The sequence below is a fragment of the Homo sapiens genome, chromosome 20, assembly GCF_000001405.40.
Source record: "Homo sapiens chromosome 20, GRCh38.p14 Primary Assembly".
Lineage (NCBI taxonomy): Eukaryota > Metazoa > Chordata > Mammalia > Primates > Hominidae > Homo > Homo sapiens.
The window spans coordinates 29413578-29430362 of record NC_000020.11 but is presented as its reverse complement, the minus strand read 5'-3'; the positions used below and the strand labels follow the sequence as shown (position 1 = coordinate 29430362).

The 16785-nt window shown below is 40.1% G+C and overlaps 2 pseudogenes across 1 annotated transcript, besides 1 other annotated feature; both read left to right on the top strand.

Moving 5' to 3' along the window:
* Positions 1–16785: part of a centromere (Linear centromere model derived predominantly from reads generated in PMID: 17803354. This region does not represent an actual centromere sequence, as long-range ordering of repeats and unmapped WGS contigs is not provided by the model. For details of model production, see http://arxiv.org/abs/1307.0035.) that runs on past both edges of the window.
* RARRES2P11 (retinoic acid receptor responder 2 pseudogene 11) lies at positions 2459–3085 on the top strand (annotated as a pseudogene).
* FRG2EP (FSHD region gene 2 family member E, pseudogene) lies at positions 13402–16288 on the top strand (annotated as a pseudogene). The gene is given in 4 exon segments (NR_037925.1): positions 13402–13627; positions 13889–13966; positions 14196–14273; positions 14597–16288. The product of NR_037925.1 is annotated as an FSHD region gene 2 family member E, pseudogene (transcript).

Genomic DNA, 16785 nt, shown 5'->3' with positions numbered 1-16785 from the left:
TGTATATTTTTAGGGTGTACAATAGAGTGTTTTGAGATATCAGTAGTCTTTAAATTACCTCAGTTAAGCTAGTTAGCCTATCTATCCCCTCAGATAGTTAATACGTTTCTGTGTGTGTGGTGAGAGCACCTGAGATCTACTCTTGTAGCAAATTTCAAGTACAGAGTATTGTTAACTATAGTCACTATTCTGTACATTAGGTCCCCAGCAGTTACTCACCTTGTAACTGAAGGTGCGCCCCTTCCATGGATATCTCCCTACTTTCCCCACTTCTTAGCCCATGGGAACCACCGTTCTACTGTTTCCATGGCTTTTTAAATTTTTATTTACTTTTTTAGATTTTACATACAAACGAGATCATGCAGTAGTTGTCTTTCTGTATTCGGCTTATTTCACTGAGCATAATGTCTTCAAGATTTATCAATATTGTTGTGGATGAGTTTCATTTTTATTAAAGCTGAAATTATGTATCTCTCAGTTTATTTATCTGTATCAGAGGAGTGCAGATACCCTTGATGATCCTGATTTTATGTCCTTTGGCTATATACTCCTAATTGGGATTAGTGGTAGTTCTAGTTTAAAAATTTTAAGGAACCTCCATACCGTTTTTCATAATAGCTGCACCAATTGACATCCTCAGCAACAGTGCACAAGTGTTCTCTTTTTCCACACCCTAACACTTTTTATCTTTTGACTTTTTGATAATAGGCATCCAAACACCACGATAAGGTGATACCTCATTGTGATTTTGATTTTAATTACTCTGATAATTAGTGATGTCAAGCATTTTTTATACACCTGCTGGCCATTTGTATATCTTTGGAAAAACTGTTATTTATATATTTTGCCCAATTATTAATCAAGAAATTGCTTTTAATTCTGCTGTGGGTTTTTTGTATTGATTAGTATGACATATATTTTGGATAGTAACATATTATCCTACATATGGTTTACAAATATTTCCTCCCATTTCCTATAATGCCTTTACATTTTGTTGTTTCCTTTATTGTGCAGAAAATTTTAACTTTGACATAGTTCCACTTGTTCATTTTTGCTTTTGTTGACTGTGTTCTTGGTGTCATATCCAAAACATCATTGCCATGACCAGTGTCAAGGTTTTTCCCCATTTTTTTTTAGAGGATTCATGATTTCAGTTCTTATGTTTAAGTCTTTATTTCATTTCAAATTCATTTTGTGATGACGTGAGAGAAAGGTTCACTTTTTTCTGTGCATATCTAGTTTTTCTTACACCACTCCTTGATGTGTTTATCCTTTCTCCATTCTGTGGGACTGGTCGACTGTATATTTGCGAGTTTATTTCTGGATCCTCTATTCTGTTCTATTGGTTTTTATGTAGGTACAATACTATATTGATGACTACAGCTTTGTAATATAGTTTGAAATCAGGAAGCGTAAGGCTTTCAGCCTTTTTGTTCTTCTCAGTATTTGGCTATTTGAGGTCTTTTGTGGTTCCATACTAATTTTAAAATTGTTGTTCTACATTTTTAATAAAATGGCATTAAAATTTTGATAGAAATTTAACTCTGTAGACCACTTTGTGTAGTATGGATATTTTAATATTAATTTTTAGAATCCATGAACACAAAATATATTTCCCATTTTGTATTTTTCATTTTCTTTCCTCAACATTTTATAGTTTTCAGTATGCAGATCTTTCACACTTTGTTAACTCATTCCTAAGCATTTCATTCTATTTGATAATATTGTAAATGGAACTATCTTTATTCCTGTTTCAGATATTTTGTTGTTACTGTAAAAAAATGCCACTGATGTTCATATGTTAATATTGTATCCTGAAAATTTACTGACTTAGTTGGTTAGTTATAACAGGTTTTTTTTTTTTTTTCTGGTAAAATGGTGGGTATTCTGAATTCTGGTTAAATTGATAGTTGCTATTATCATTTCAAAATTATTTAAAATATGACCAGATGGATTCCTACTTTCATGAATTCAATGGAATTCCCATTTAAAATAATTTTGTCTGGTTGACCTAGGCCCCGGGGATCAGGGGCACCCCGTGAGAGCCCGGAGATTCACGTGGGGGTGGGAGGGAGAAGCCGTCAGAGAGGGGGCTGAGCTGGGGAAGCAGAGAGGGGCTCCGGGGACAGCCGGGAGGAGATAGGGTCATGTCGGAGACCCAGTGGGGAGAGATAATGGGCCAGAAAAGGAGGAAGGGTGAGAGTGAGCAACAGGACGGCTTCCCAGCGCGGCAGGGAACTTTGCTGAAACTGCGGGCCCCAGGGAACAGCGCGGGCAGGGTGGGAGGGAGTGGAGAGGACCCAGCACATCCCAAGGTCAGTGTGGAGAAAGGGACATTTCCCGCTTCCTTCGCCTCTGCCCAGCGTTCTGAGGGCATGCCCCCCGCCAGGGGCAGGGCAGGGGGGGAGGTGGCTCCCGGCAGGCTCGGAGAACTAAGGGGCGCACACCCGCTTCGCAGGGCTGGGGTGACAGGGGAAGCCTGAGAGGGCTGCAGATCTCGCTGGCCCAGTGGGTGGGCGCGGGGGACGCGGGAGGGGCTGAGCTCACAGGGCCAGCGCCGGGGCCTGCAGGTGGTCCTGGAGGAATCTGCAAGCACCTGCCCGTGCAGCGGGCCTTCCAGGAGACCAGTGTGGACAGCGCCCTGGACACGCCCTTCCCAGCTGGAACATTTGTGAGGCTGGAATTTAAGCTCCGGCAGACAGAGAAGTGGCCGGAGGAAAGACTGTAAAAACCCAAGTGCAAAGTCCAGCCTGAGAGGAGGAAGCAGGAATGGCTGACCTGCGTCAAACTGGGCTGTGAGGATAAGGTTCTGGGCAGGATGGTTCGCTGCCGTCCAGAGAAGCAGACTCGGCGGGAGCCTGAGGAGCACCAGGAGGCCGGGTGCAGCCGGGCGGAGCGGGCGGTGAGGACCCCACAGCTGCTGCTTCCCTGCACAGTTCGTCTTCTCCAAGGCCCGGCCCCCAGCGGAGCCCAGCACTGAATCGCATGGCGCCCCCTGGAGCCCTGGCGGGGATAACCAGTGGAAGACCCACCTCCCAGGGAGAGGACTCCAGTGTATCCCCAGATAATAAAACTGTTCTCTCCCCACAAAAAATAAATAAATAATTTTGTCTGGTCTTTGAAAATGTGTATCCTCTGTGTTCTGGTCAAAATGCTGCCCATTTATCTATATGCCTAATTAGTCAAACTTTTTAATGAAGTTATTTAACATTCTTTTTTATTATGAAACAAAACAGTAAATTTGTTAATGGTTTTAATATCATCTAATGTGATTGAAAATATGTCAATTTGTCATTGCCAATGAATCTTTGTGTTATTTATTTTACTCTGTTACATATTCTGTACATAAAGGTCTAAGTGGCTTAGAATCTTGCCTAACATATTCTATGTGCTAAGTACTAACTACTCTAATTCATCAAATTATCTTTCTATATCATTCTTAAAATACAATATTATTTTTTATTTATTTTTGTTAATTTTTTTTGCCTAATCTAATTATTTATGAAAATTATGAGGTCTGAACTGAATAGTTTGTCCTCTTGATAAAAGCCAAAGTTTTTTTTTCTCTCTTTTTTTTTTTTTTGAGACGAAGTCTCCCTCTATTCCCCAGGCTGGAGTGCAGTGACAAAATCTCTGCTCACCACAACCTCCGCTTCCCGGGTTCAGGTGATTCTCCTGCCTTAGCCTCCTGAGTAGCTGGGACTACAGGCGTGCTCCACCATGCCCGGCTAATTTTTGTATTTTTAGTAGAGATGGGGTTTCACTATATTGGCCAGGCTGGTCTTGAACTCCTGACCACGTGATCCGCCTGCCTCAGCCTCCCAAAGTGCTGGGATTATAGGCTTGAGCCACCGCCCCAGGTCTTTTTTTTTTAATCTCTTTATTAATACGTTAGAGAGTACAAATGCAGCTCCCTTACAGAAGCATGTTGCATAGGGATGAAGTATGGGCTTTTGGTGTGACAATCATCTGAATGTTGTTTATTGTCCCAATTAGTTATTTTCTCATTCCTAAACCCTCTCCAACCTCCCATCTTTCTGAGTCTCCAGTGTCTATCTTTCCAGTCTCTATATCCAAGTGTATGCATAATTGAGATCCCACTTGCAAGTGAGAAAATACAGATTAGATTTTCTGTTTCTGAGTTTTTTCACTTACAATAATGGCCTCTGGTTTTATTTATGTTGTTGCAAAAGACATGACTTTATTCTTCTTCATGGCTGAGTAACATTCCATGGTATACTTGTATAGCACATTTTCTTTATTCGATTATTGATTGATAAATTTAAATTGATTTCATATATTGGCTATTGTGAATAGTGCTGTGATAAACATGTGAGCATGGGTATTTTCTTTATGTAACAAATTATTTTCCTTTGGGTAGATACCAAGTAGTGGGAATGCTGAATCAAATGGAAGTTCTATTTTTAGTCTATTTTGAAATCTCCATACTGTTTTCCATAGAGATTGCAGAAAGTTACTTTCCCACAAACAATGTATAAGTGTTCTCTTTTCTCTGTATCCTTGCCGATAGCTCATTTTTCTGCTTTTTAGTAATAGCCATTCTGCATGGTGTAAGTTTGTACCTCATTTTGGTTTTTAATTGGCATTTCTCTGATCATTGACAACGTTGAGCATGTTTTACATGCTTGTTGACCATTGACCATCAGTGTCTTTTTTTTTTAATGTTCATGTTCTTTGCTTGCTTTTTAATGAGGTTACTTGTTTTATTTTTGTTGAGCTGTTTCAGTTCCTTGATTATTCTGGACATTAGATCTTTGTTACATGCAATACTGGTAAATGTTTATCTCATTCCATAGGTTTTCTGTTTACTGTGTTAATTAAAAAGCTCATTTTCAGGAGCTTTATAGTTTGAGTTCCTTTTGTCTATTTTTGTTATTGTTACATCTGCTTTTGAGATCTTAGTCATAAATTCTTTTTCCAAGTCAATGTCTAGAAGAGTTTATCCTAGAGTTTCTTCTAGCATTTTTATAGTTTCAGGTCTTACATTTTAGTCTTTTAACCCATATTGAGTTGATTTTTGTATATGGTGAGACATAGGGGTCCCATTCCATACTTCTGCATACGGCAATATAATTTTTCCAGCAAAATTTATTGAATAGGATGTCATTTCTCCAGTGTATGTTTTTGTTGACTTTGTAAAAGATCAGTTGTTTGTAGGTATGTGGCTTTATTTCTAGGTTCTCTATTCTGTACCATTGATCTATGTGTCAATTTATATCAGTACCATGCTGTTTTGGTTACTACAGCCTTCTAGCATAATTTTAAGTCAGATAATGTAATATCTCCAGCTTTATTCTCTTTGCTTAGATTTGCTTTGGCTATTCAGGCTCTTTTTGTGGTTCCATGTGAATTTTAGTGTTTTTTTTCTAATTTTATAAAAAATAACATTGGCAGTTTGGTAGGAATTGAATTTAATATGTAGATTGCTTTGGGCAGTAGAGTCATTTTATTGATCATAATTCTTCCAATCCATGAGCATGGGATGTTTTTCTCATTTGTGTCATGTACAATTTCTTTCATCAGTGTTTTGTAGTTTTCCTTGTAGGGATCGTTCATCTCTTTGACTAATTGTATTTCTAAGCATTTTACCTTTTTTTGTAGCTATTGTAAAAGGAAGTGACTTTTTAATTCAGTTCTCAGCTTGATCATCATTAGTGTATAAAAATGCTACCAATTTTTGTACATTGATTTTTGCATTCTGAAACATTATTAAATTTATTTATCAAATCTAAGAGTTTTTTTGGTGGTCTTCAGAATTTTTGTATATATGATATTATATAATCATCAAAGAGGGACAATTTGACTTTCTAATTACAACCACATAGTTGCTCCCACCAAGACCAATAGACAGAGTCTCTGGGGAGGGCACAGGTGATGGTATTTCTTTAAGCTGGCCATGTGATTATGGCTGGAAGCATGGGCCAGTGGCACCATCTTGGCCCATGGCAACCTCCACCTCCCAGGTTCGAGTGATTCTGCAGTCTCAGCCACCTGAGTAGCTAGGATGATGGGCACCAGCCACCACACCTGGCTAATTTTTGTATGTTTTAGTAGAGACATGATTTGGCCATGTTACCCAGGCTGGTCTTGAACACCTGACCTCAGGTGATCTGCCCACTTCAGCCTCCCAAAGTGATGGGATTACAGGCGTGAGTCACCGTGCCCAACTCTCAAGTTTCAATGTGCCTATGAATTATTTCTGATTCCAGGCTCTCTCTTAGTGATGTGATTCTGCAGGTTTGGAAGGGGTCCATGAATTGGCTTCTTTAAAAAGTCTCCTCTTAATGCTGATGTTTCTTCCACTACATCCAATATAGTAGCACTCAGCTAGAGAAAGTAGGCACAGCACAGAGCTCCTGACACCCAACACTGTTACCACAACACAAATACTTTTGGCCCAAAGTGGAAACCACAAGTCACCATTTTCAAACATGTCATTTTCTGCTGGCTCTTTACAGTTTAGAAAGCCTAGAGAAGGCATCAATGTTTGAGTAAGTCTGCATTTGGAAAACATGTACACATGAGTTAATACAATGTTTACTGAGCACATACTATGTGTTCAGAAGTCTGTTACAGAGCAATGTTCAGGAAACATTACATGATGTGAGTTAATCCTCATAGCACCCTGGGGGTTGGGTGCTAAGTTTTCTGTAATTTTCAGGATTTAAATGAAGGGCCTAGTATTTCTATTTTTTCTTCCATTTTAAAAATTATTTACCTGGAAAATAAAATGTGCAGAATAAATGCTATATTGACAGATGAGAAGGATAGAGAAAAAAGGGTGAACTGTTCAGAGAGATGTTTTATATTTATATTTACCTTTTTGTGCCTTGTGAAGCAGCTACTGAATTTGCAGGAATGGAAAACAAGTTGCTAGGTGGGGTGTCTCTAGAAGCACTGGCTTCAATGAAAAAGAAATTATAGCCCCCAAATATAGAATTATTTGCTTCCATTTATCTGCTTTTCCATTTTAGGAAATCGTGGGCACCAGCTCAGGAGAGGCAGCAGGAGCCCCCGCCCGAATCTCTGGCCTCCTTTAATCAGTTCTGTGAGAGAAGATTCTAGGGTGAGGTCAGACCTGGATGAGGCCATTGAAGAGGGTGGATCTGGGCAGGGCTGGAACAGAAAGTGGACCCCATATTTCTGATGTTCATGCTGGTGGAGTATTTCCAGTTCTGTCTTTCCTAAGCCTGCCCAACAGAGACTTAACTCTTAGAGCTTGTGTAATTTTAATCTGTTTTAGCCACTTCCCTGTCAATTTTTATAACACATGATAACAAGAAACTTAAGCAAAACTCTTAGGGTTTTTTAGGACAATTATATGAGAAGCTAAAAACTTATTTTTACCAAAGTGAAAGAAATAGAAATAATCACAACAATAACAATAATTCTTCTGTCCATTAATAGCCCTTCAGATGGTGACATTGGAACCCAAGGAACAGCATAAGGGAAGTGGAGCAAATGCAGCCAAGGCCCTCTGTGCAGCTCCCTTCTCCCTTCCTACTACAGGATGCTGAATTCAGCCATTAATCCATTTCCCTTTCAACCACAGGATGCTGAATTCAGCCATTAATCCATTTCCCTTCTGACCACAGGATGCTGAATTCAGCTGTTAATCCGTTTGCTCTAGATGAAAAGTTCCTGGACAATAGAAACCATGAATTCTTCATCTGTTTTTCTGATGGTCATGTGATGTAGTTTAGATGTCCCCTCCAAATCTCATATTGAATTTTAATCCCCAATGTGGCAGGTGGGGCCTGGAGAGGAGGTGGTTGAATCACCGGGTGAGTCCCTCATGGCTCTGTGCCGTCCTTGTGATAGTGAGTACTCGCGAGATCTGGTTGTTTAGAAGTGTGGTCCATCCCTTCCTCATCTTTCTTGTTTCTGCTTCTACCATGTGAGATACCTGCTTCTCTTTCACCATGATTGTAAGCTTCCCCAGGCCTTCCCAGAAGCAGATGCTGGTGCTATGCTTCCTGTACAGCCTGCAGAACCATGAGCCAGTCAAACTCTTTTCTTATAAATTACCCAGTCTCAGATTTTTTAAATAGCAATGCAAGAATAGCTTAATACATCATATGAAAAGAAAGCAATTGATATATTTACCAGTTTGAGTATTTACCAGTTTGAGTTTCCAGACCTCTGCCTTGCTTCAACTCAAAGAACAGGAAGGGAGCAACCCCTATCTACTGCTCCTGATCGTGGGAGAATCTTCAGTTCATCTTAAAACATTTCAGTCAAAAGCCCTGTGTTTTATGTAGAAGAAGGAGGGTGTCTGAAAGAATGGGTCTCTTTATTTATTTTTACTTCTGAGACAGGGTCTCTTTCCCTGTCATTCTGGCTGGGGTGCAGTGGCTTACTGCAGCTTTGACATTCTGTGCTCCAGCGATTCTCCCACCTCAGCCTCCCAAGTAGCTGGGACCACACATGCATACTACCACAATCAGATAATATTTGTATTTTTGGCAGAGATGGGGTTTTGTTATGTTGAGCAGGCTGTTCTTGAACTCCTGAGCTCGTGATCCTCCAGCCTCTGCCTTTCAAAGTGCTGGAATTACAGGTGTGAGCCACCACACCGGGCAGATGGGTCTTAACTGATTTTAATCAGGGTAACTAAGCACGGAAGACATGCCCTTAATTTTTTTCCTAATACAATATTTGACAGTTATATAACTATGATTTTTTTTTATTCCTGTGATTCATAAGGGTATGATAGTAAAAGGCCTTGAAAGCCTGTAGGAAAAAAGTGCTATATTGTGCTTGAAACCACCTTTTACTCTGAAAGCAAGTGCAATCCAGGTACATCTGTTGAGAAGATATTTTCTCCTGTTGCATTTTAGCCAAACAGCTGAGTGTGTCTTGAAGTTGTTTTTTGATTTTTAACAGGACAAGTGTATTTTCTAAGACCCCAAACTCAGGAGTGGCCATGGGGCAAATCACAGCTGCACACATAGAATGCATGAGCAGCAAATGCATTTCTCACCCTGAACCAGGGATTTTTCCCCCTGGGTGCACATGAGAATCACCAGGGAGGCTTTTAAAATTACCTAAACTCAAAAGGCAATAGATAAATGAATTCAGAATCCCTGCAGTGGGACCTGAGCCACAGAGCTGTTTAAAGCTCTCTGGATGACTATGGGGAACAACCAAGCCCCCAAACTGCTGCTTTAAGTCAGCCCCTTCCAGTGAACTAGTGGCAGATGGTTTCCTGAAATGAACGGTTTAAATCAGCCTTTTCCGGTGAACTAGTGGCAAATGGGTTCCTGAAATAAATGGAAAGATTTGCTCCTGGGTTGTGGTCTTCTGACCTTACCTGCATTACCTAATTTTCCTTGCTGAACTGACCTCTGCTACACATTTTATTCCTGATTCAATCCAGTTCTACTCATACCAAATGCATATTACGCACTAGGTGCCCTTGCATTGCTGAACCTCACTGTGGGGAGAGGACTTTGCTGAATAATAATTGCATCCAAAAAAAACCAAAACACTGGACTCGAATGATCCTCCTGCCTTGGCCTCCCAAAGAGCTGAGAGTGTAGGCATGAGCCACCATGCTTGGCCTATACCCTAAAAAATTAAAACTATCTTACTTACTAAATTGATGTAATCATGGGAAGACCTAGAAGGTCACCGAAGTGTTAGGACATAAGTAAATACCTTGGAATATTAATATCCATCTGATGATGCCCTGAGCAAACATGTCCCACTTTAAAACAATACAAAACAGTGCTATTCTTCTGAGATATGATGTTAAAATTGTGTGCAAATAGGTAATATTTAAATTTTTATATATGTATAACATTCATGCAGAAAGATGTGTACAAAGAAATCATGTAAAGTTCAATGAATTATTTCAAAGTGAACACACGTGTGTAACCTAGAAATAGAACCAGCTTCACTGATGCCCTGGCAACCACTTTCTCTCTTTTTGCTCCCCCAAAGTCACTAAGATCTTAAGAGCTAACATTGTATATCAACTTTGTATTATTGTACATGTTTTATTACAGAAAATTTAAAACATACACAAAATAAAAGAAACAGTACAATAGGCCTGTTACCCAGGCTCAACAACAACTAATAACATGCCAATTTTGTGTTATCTCTACTTCAACTCATTTCTCACACAGACTTTATTATTTATTATTATTTTTTCTGATATAAAATGTGTGCTCACTGAAGGTAAAATCTTGGCTGAGCACAATGGCTTAAGCCTGTGTAATCCCATCACTTTGTAATGACAAGGCAGGAGGATCATTTGAGGTCAGGAGTTTGAGAGCAGCCTGAGCAGCATAGTGAGACCACATCTTTATTAATTTTTTTTAAATTAATCAGGCACGGTGGTGCACTCCTGTAGTTCCAGCTACTTGGGATGTTGACATAGCAGGATCCCTTGATTCTAGGAGTTTGAGGCTACAGTGAGTTGTGATTGTGCCACCTCACATCAGCCTGGGTGACAGAGTGAGACTCTGTCTCAAAAAAAAAAAAAATAAAGGTTTGACCTTAACTAGCTTTTTACACATAAACACACCCATATAAACAATCCCTCTTTTAACACTAGAAGTACCAAATTAAAAATCATTAATGTGAACCCATTTTTAACTCAGACTTTATCTTTTAATAAGTTCCTTTTTTTTTTTTTTTTTGAAGTAAGATGTGCACTCATTGAAAGGTCTAATCTTGGCTGGGCACAGTGGCTCACATTTGTAACCTCATCACTTTGGAAGCCAGAGCTCAGGAGTTTGAGACCAGCCTAGGCAACACAACAAGACCTCACTGGGGCAAGATAGTGAGACCTCATCTCTCCAACAATTTTTTAAAAGTTAGTTTGGCATAGTGGTGCACACTTGTAGTCACAGCAATTTGGGAGGCTGACTTGGGAGGATCACTGGAGTCTGGGAGGTCAAGGCTGCAGTGAGCTGTGATTGCACCACTGCACTCCATCCAGAGGGACAGAGTGAGGCTCTGTCAAAAAAAGGTACAATTTTAACTGTACGTGTTTGACACATCAACACATCCATATAAACAATCCCTCTCTTAAAAATAAAAGTACCCAATTTAACAGATATTAATATTCATGGGAATTACCTAGAAATTTTTTGTTTGTTTTGGTTTGGATTTTTATTGAAAGGAGACACCTAGAAATGTTATTTAAAATCTAGATTTTGATAAAAATAAGCCTGAGTTTTTTCTTTTTTTGAGACGGAGTTTTGCTCTGTCACCCAGCTGGAGTGCAGTGGTATGATCTCGGCTCACCAAAACCTCTGCCTCCCAGGTTCAAGCAATCCTCCTGCCTCCCAACTAGCTGGGATTACAGGCATGAGCCACCACATTCAGTTAATTTTTTTTTTTTTTGTATTTTTAGTACAGATGGGGTTTCCTTATGTTGGCTAGGCTAGCCTTGAACTCCTGACCTAAGGTGATCCACCCGCCTTGGCCTCGCAAAGTGCTGGGATTACAGGCATGAGCCACCGTGCCCAACCAGGCCTGAGTTTTGCCTGAGAATTTCTCTTTCTAAGAAAGTACATCATATGGCAGTTACAAGGTCTCTTTTATCTAAAATATATAGAATTTAATAAATAAAAATTTAAAAAATTTACCTGAGATTAAAGGACAAATCAAAACACATATGTAATATGTTGTCTGTAGGAGTATACTTTAACAGTGACATAAATTATTAATAATCACTAAATGTCATAATAATTTATTAACTAAAATGGACGAAATTCCTAATATGATATCTATGAAAATACTTTCTTAGAGTAAAATATTCTCATGTCTTGAAAGGGCACTGGTTAAAAACAGCAAAGATGTGGAAGTCGATGTCTTATCAAGTACTTACTATCAAGTAAGTAGCAGACCCCTCTTCACACCTTTTACAGAGTTATCCAAAAAGAAGTCATTTACACAAGAGTAGACAATTTTCCTAGCTTTCTATTGAGTTTATATGTTAATATTGTTAAAAAATTTAACTCAATTTTCTTATAAAATTACTTGACCAAATTTTATATATTATATCATAATATATCAAAATTTATTTAGACGTCAAATAAATTTTATAATATAATATAATATATAACAATATCATATTATGATAAGTTCCATTTACATTCAGACAATTTCACTAGGCAGTGTCTGTCTACCACTAATTCTTTTTTGGTTCCACTATTTGCACAGGCAGCACAGCTGGGAAAACACAGACTCACCCAACACAGTCTCTTCCCCGTGTCTTTCTCCTCCTCAAGGAATCAGTTCATCAGTCAATCAAGTCATTTGGGACTGGAGGCTGAGTACTCCCTAACATAGAAATTCTCATTCCTGCATGCTTTCCTCAGCAGTGGGGGAGAGAAGAAGGTCCTTTTAGGGGACACTTGCTTGGACATAGACTAGGCTAGCTGGAGGGTTCTGACCAGCAGAGACAGACTCCGCCGCAGTAGGAAGGGATGAGGCAGCTATTCTGAACCTGGAGCTCCACCACACCTTGTCCTGTCTCACTGCGGCAATTTTGAGAGGCTGCCCCGGAATATGGTGGATGTTGAGAAATAATGTGGGCTTTGACGGGATTCAGGTGGTGTCTGCGGTGTGAAGACAGGAGCTGAATGTTCAGAATCTAGGCTGTTTTTCTTGTGATCGGTTGGGTTACCTGTTTGAGACCAAGTCCATTTTTACTAGGGAGGCTGAATAAATTCCACAGAACACAATGGTGCTCCCAGGATGACTGAGGAAGGGTGAGAAAGGGGGAAAGTTTTTCCACCTAGACTTTTTGCTACCTCAGGAATCAGGGGCTGATTAGGTTAGCACTAGCTCAACCTAATCAATTCAATTTTATTGCATTTGATCTAATTATCTTCCCCATTTTTAAGGTAGGAAGGGCCATTTCATTTGGTATTTATTTTTTTCTCTGCATTTTTATTTCTTCATATATGTGTGGTTCTAATACAATCAACCATAATTTGACATTTGTTGTTTCCAAGCATTTAAGAAATTATATCTATGCATGCAATGTTAACACTATGTACAATAAATTTTCTTTCTGTGCAAAATATATAACATATGTCAATATAGGCATGTTTAATTGTGCATCTTGAAAGGTGAACAGGATCATAAATACTTCCAGGTAGGAACTGGGACAGAAATCGGATGAAATGATTCCCTGATCTTCCGGTCCCTGTGCTCCCAGTTCTTTGTTTTCTTGACATTATGACAAGATCCTGAAAATGTCTCCCATTAACTGTGTCTAGGTCCCCAGTAGAACTACAGCAAGAAACTTCTGATTGAGGATCTAAGAAGCGGCAGGAATGAGAAAACTCTTCAGCCAATAAGAGTAAGCCACGCCCAGCCAAGGGACCTATAAAAGGCAGGTCTAGCAGAATAACCCACACTCTGCCTTTGGACGTGTGAGAGAGCGCACCTTTCACTTGAGCTTCAACATGGGAAAGGGAAATGAAGACCCCGATCTCTAGTGCTCCTCCATCCAGTGCTCCACTGACCAGCCCCCTTTCCAACAGATCTCCTTTTCAGAAAAGGGCTCAGATGAGAAGAAACCATTCAAAAGAAAGCAAGACCACCTTCTCCCATTCCAGTGAGAAGCACACACAAAGGCAAGGTAAGGCCTTGGGCTGCTCCTATGGAGGCTGGAAGGAGGGTTAGAATCAGGGATACTGAGCTATGTGTCTTTAACAGGGTTTTATTTTGAGATTTGGGGATGTGAAATGGCTTAGTGCCCTCAGGGGACTTTGAGAAATGTGTTCACTCGTGACACTGGCAGAAGAGCTTCACATGAAAGACTGATTCGCAAAAATGCATCAGAGATAGACTATGGGACTCTGCCTAGGGAGAGGTGAGTCATCTAAACTTTCTTTTGCAGCAGGATGGGAGCCCAATCCAAACAAGGAGAATTCTGAGGAAACCAAGCTCAAGGCCGGGAACAGGACTGCTGGATCAGGTAAGATTTGACTCTTTCAAGGTGAGAAGGGACAGGGCAGCAACACAAGCTCCCTTGGCAAGGAAACTGGAAGCTCCTTCGCAGCCAGGGCCGTACAGATCCTGGACACTGGAGAACAGAAGAGAGCTGGGGTTTGGTGGTAACCTCAGCTCCTGTGTGTCCAGGATGGACTAGGAATTTCAGGGTGTTCAGTTTGAGGCACTCTCTCAAACTCTCATTGTGTTCACAGAACCAGAGTCCAGCTCATATCGGGAAAACTGCAGGAAAAGAAAAATCAGTTCCAAGGATAGCTGCCAATACAGAGCAGGTAGAATCTTGGTGTTTGTTGTTGTTGCTGGTGGTGGTGGTTTTTTTGTTTTTGGTTTGCCCCAAAAAGCAAATAATCAGGAAACTTTTATATGAGGCTTGAGCAGAAAGGGAGTTACTTATTGACAAGTAAATTTTTGAGATCCTAGCACTCTGAGAATATCTGGGGACTCACAAGGGGTTCAGCTTCACTTCATTCCAGTGCTGAGATGGTCAGGAAGGAGTGGGAGAGACAAATGGGGTTCACCTGGGTGCACAGGGGGTTCTGGAAATGAGGGTCTGTGGGGACTGCTCTGGTGAGTCTCTCACATGCTTTCTTTACAGGGAACTGTCCAGAAGAGGAGTGCAGCTTGACGTTGAATAAAAAATCAAGATCCTCCACTGCTGTGCACAACAGTGAAATCCAGGAGACCTGTGATGCCCACCATAGGGGAAGTTCCAGGGCTTGCACTAGCGCAGCAAGCGGCATAAGTCTCGGGCCCTAGGAGACCAAACACCATCACTTCGAAAAAGCTTGGTGACCTCTGTGCGAGCTATGTCGGAGGCTGTTTATCAAGACCTAACCCAGGTGTGGACACAGAAAATCCATTCTCCAATGACCTGTGAGCAGCTGACACTGCTCACTAGGCTCCGGGGGCCTCTGTGTGCCCAGGTGCAGACCTTGTATTCCATGGCCACCCAGGCAGCTTATGTCTTCCCTGCTGAGAGCTGGCTTGTCCCAGCCACACTGCCTGGTCCTGGGGATTCAGCCCTGGATAGAGAAACCCATTCCTTCCCTGGGCAGGAGATAACTGAGCCTGTCAGTGGATCAGATGAGGTGAAGCTGAGAGCACCCTGACCCTATTCAGCACAGATGCAGCTCTGGGAATGAGAACAAGGACCTGCTTCTTCTCAGATTCTTCCAGATGACCAGCAGTGACAATTTTAGATGCACTGTGTTAATAAATGACAGAACCTGAAGAAGTCATAGGAAAGAAACTTGAGCTCTATACTCAGAATGGTGAGCCCTGAATTTTGCAGACCGCTAAGGCTATAGACAAATTTTATATTTCATGTTAGACATTTGATGCCTTTTGGATGTCTGGTGACAGTCGTGCATTTCTATATAATCAGAAAAATATTAGATTGTAATCATGAATTTGCATATTTTAGATTGTAGAAAAGTAAATATAAAATTATATGCTCTATTTTTTTTTGAGACAGTCTTGCTATGTCACTCAGGCTGGAGTGCAGTGGCACAATCTTAGCTCACTGCAACCTCTGCTTCCTGGGTTCAAACAATTCTCATGCCTCAGCCTCCCAAGTAGCTGGGACTACAGGCATGTACTGCCATGCCTGGCTGATTTTTTTTTCTTGTATTGTTAGTAGAGTTTTGTCACATTGGCAAGGTTGGCCTTGGACTCAAGTGATCCGCCAGCCTCCACCTCCCAATGTGCTGGGGTTACAGGCATGAGCCGCTTTACCAAGAAATTGCTTCTCTTTTAATTCAGAAAAGGTTGTAGGCTCTCACTCTTCTAGCCTGAACCCATGGAGTACTAATATCCACAAACCATTAATAGCACTCCCTGTGGGAAAATGTCTATACATTTTTACAGTTTGCATAGTAAAATTACTATGCAAGCTGTTTACTTTTAATATTTCTACATAAAATTTAAGTCAAGATATATTAAATGGTAAATGATTGTACTTATTCATCTGTCTCATGTTTTATTTCATTTTAAACATCCTGAATTTATACTTTATTGTATTTCATACATTTCAATTGATTGCACTGTATTGCAGGATATGGAGATTTCATCACCTACTACAATACAGCATATTTTGTTATATTTGTCATATATTCTACTTGTATTTTGTACTGAGATCATACAATCTTTCATTATCTAAGTGTATTAATGACTTGTTTGGTTGCTTTATAATTTTCATTTTATGTAATAATGAAATAAACATTAATATTGTTTGGAATTTTAAATTTCTTGCATCTGGAATTTGTATTTAATAAAGATGTGAAAGAGAGAATGTCTTAACTTCACTTCTGCATCATCCTAACCCTGACCTCCCCACAGTCCACAGCTCCTGTCATAGTCTGGGAATAATGTTCTATCACTACAGGAAATGGGGCCAATTTAATGGTAATACACAGATATAAATTGGAGATATAGAGATTTTATTCTCGACCACTGCAGTATAAAATAATCACAGTAACGCGAGTCACACAATTTTTGGGTTGACACTGCTTATGAGTTATGCTTACACTATGCTGTAGAATAACACTGAAATAAATTTATGTCTATTAAACAAATGCACACACATAAATAACATGTCTAAATAACAATATACATATCTTAATGAAAATGAACTTTATTGCTAAAAATGTTAACACACAGATACACACAATGGGATCATATAATGTTGAAAAATAGAGATGGGGAGAGGAACAGAAACAGAGAGAAAGGGAGGAATGGAGCGAGAAAAGGACAGATGGACAGAGGGACATTGGAAAGGAGAAAGTG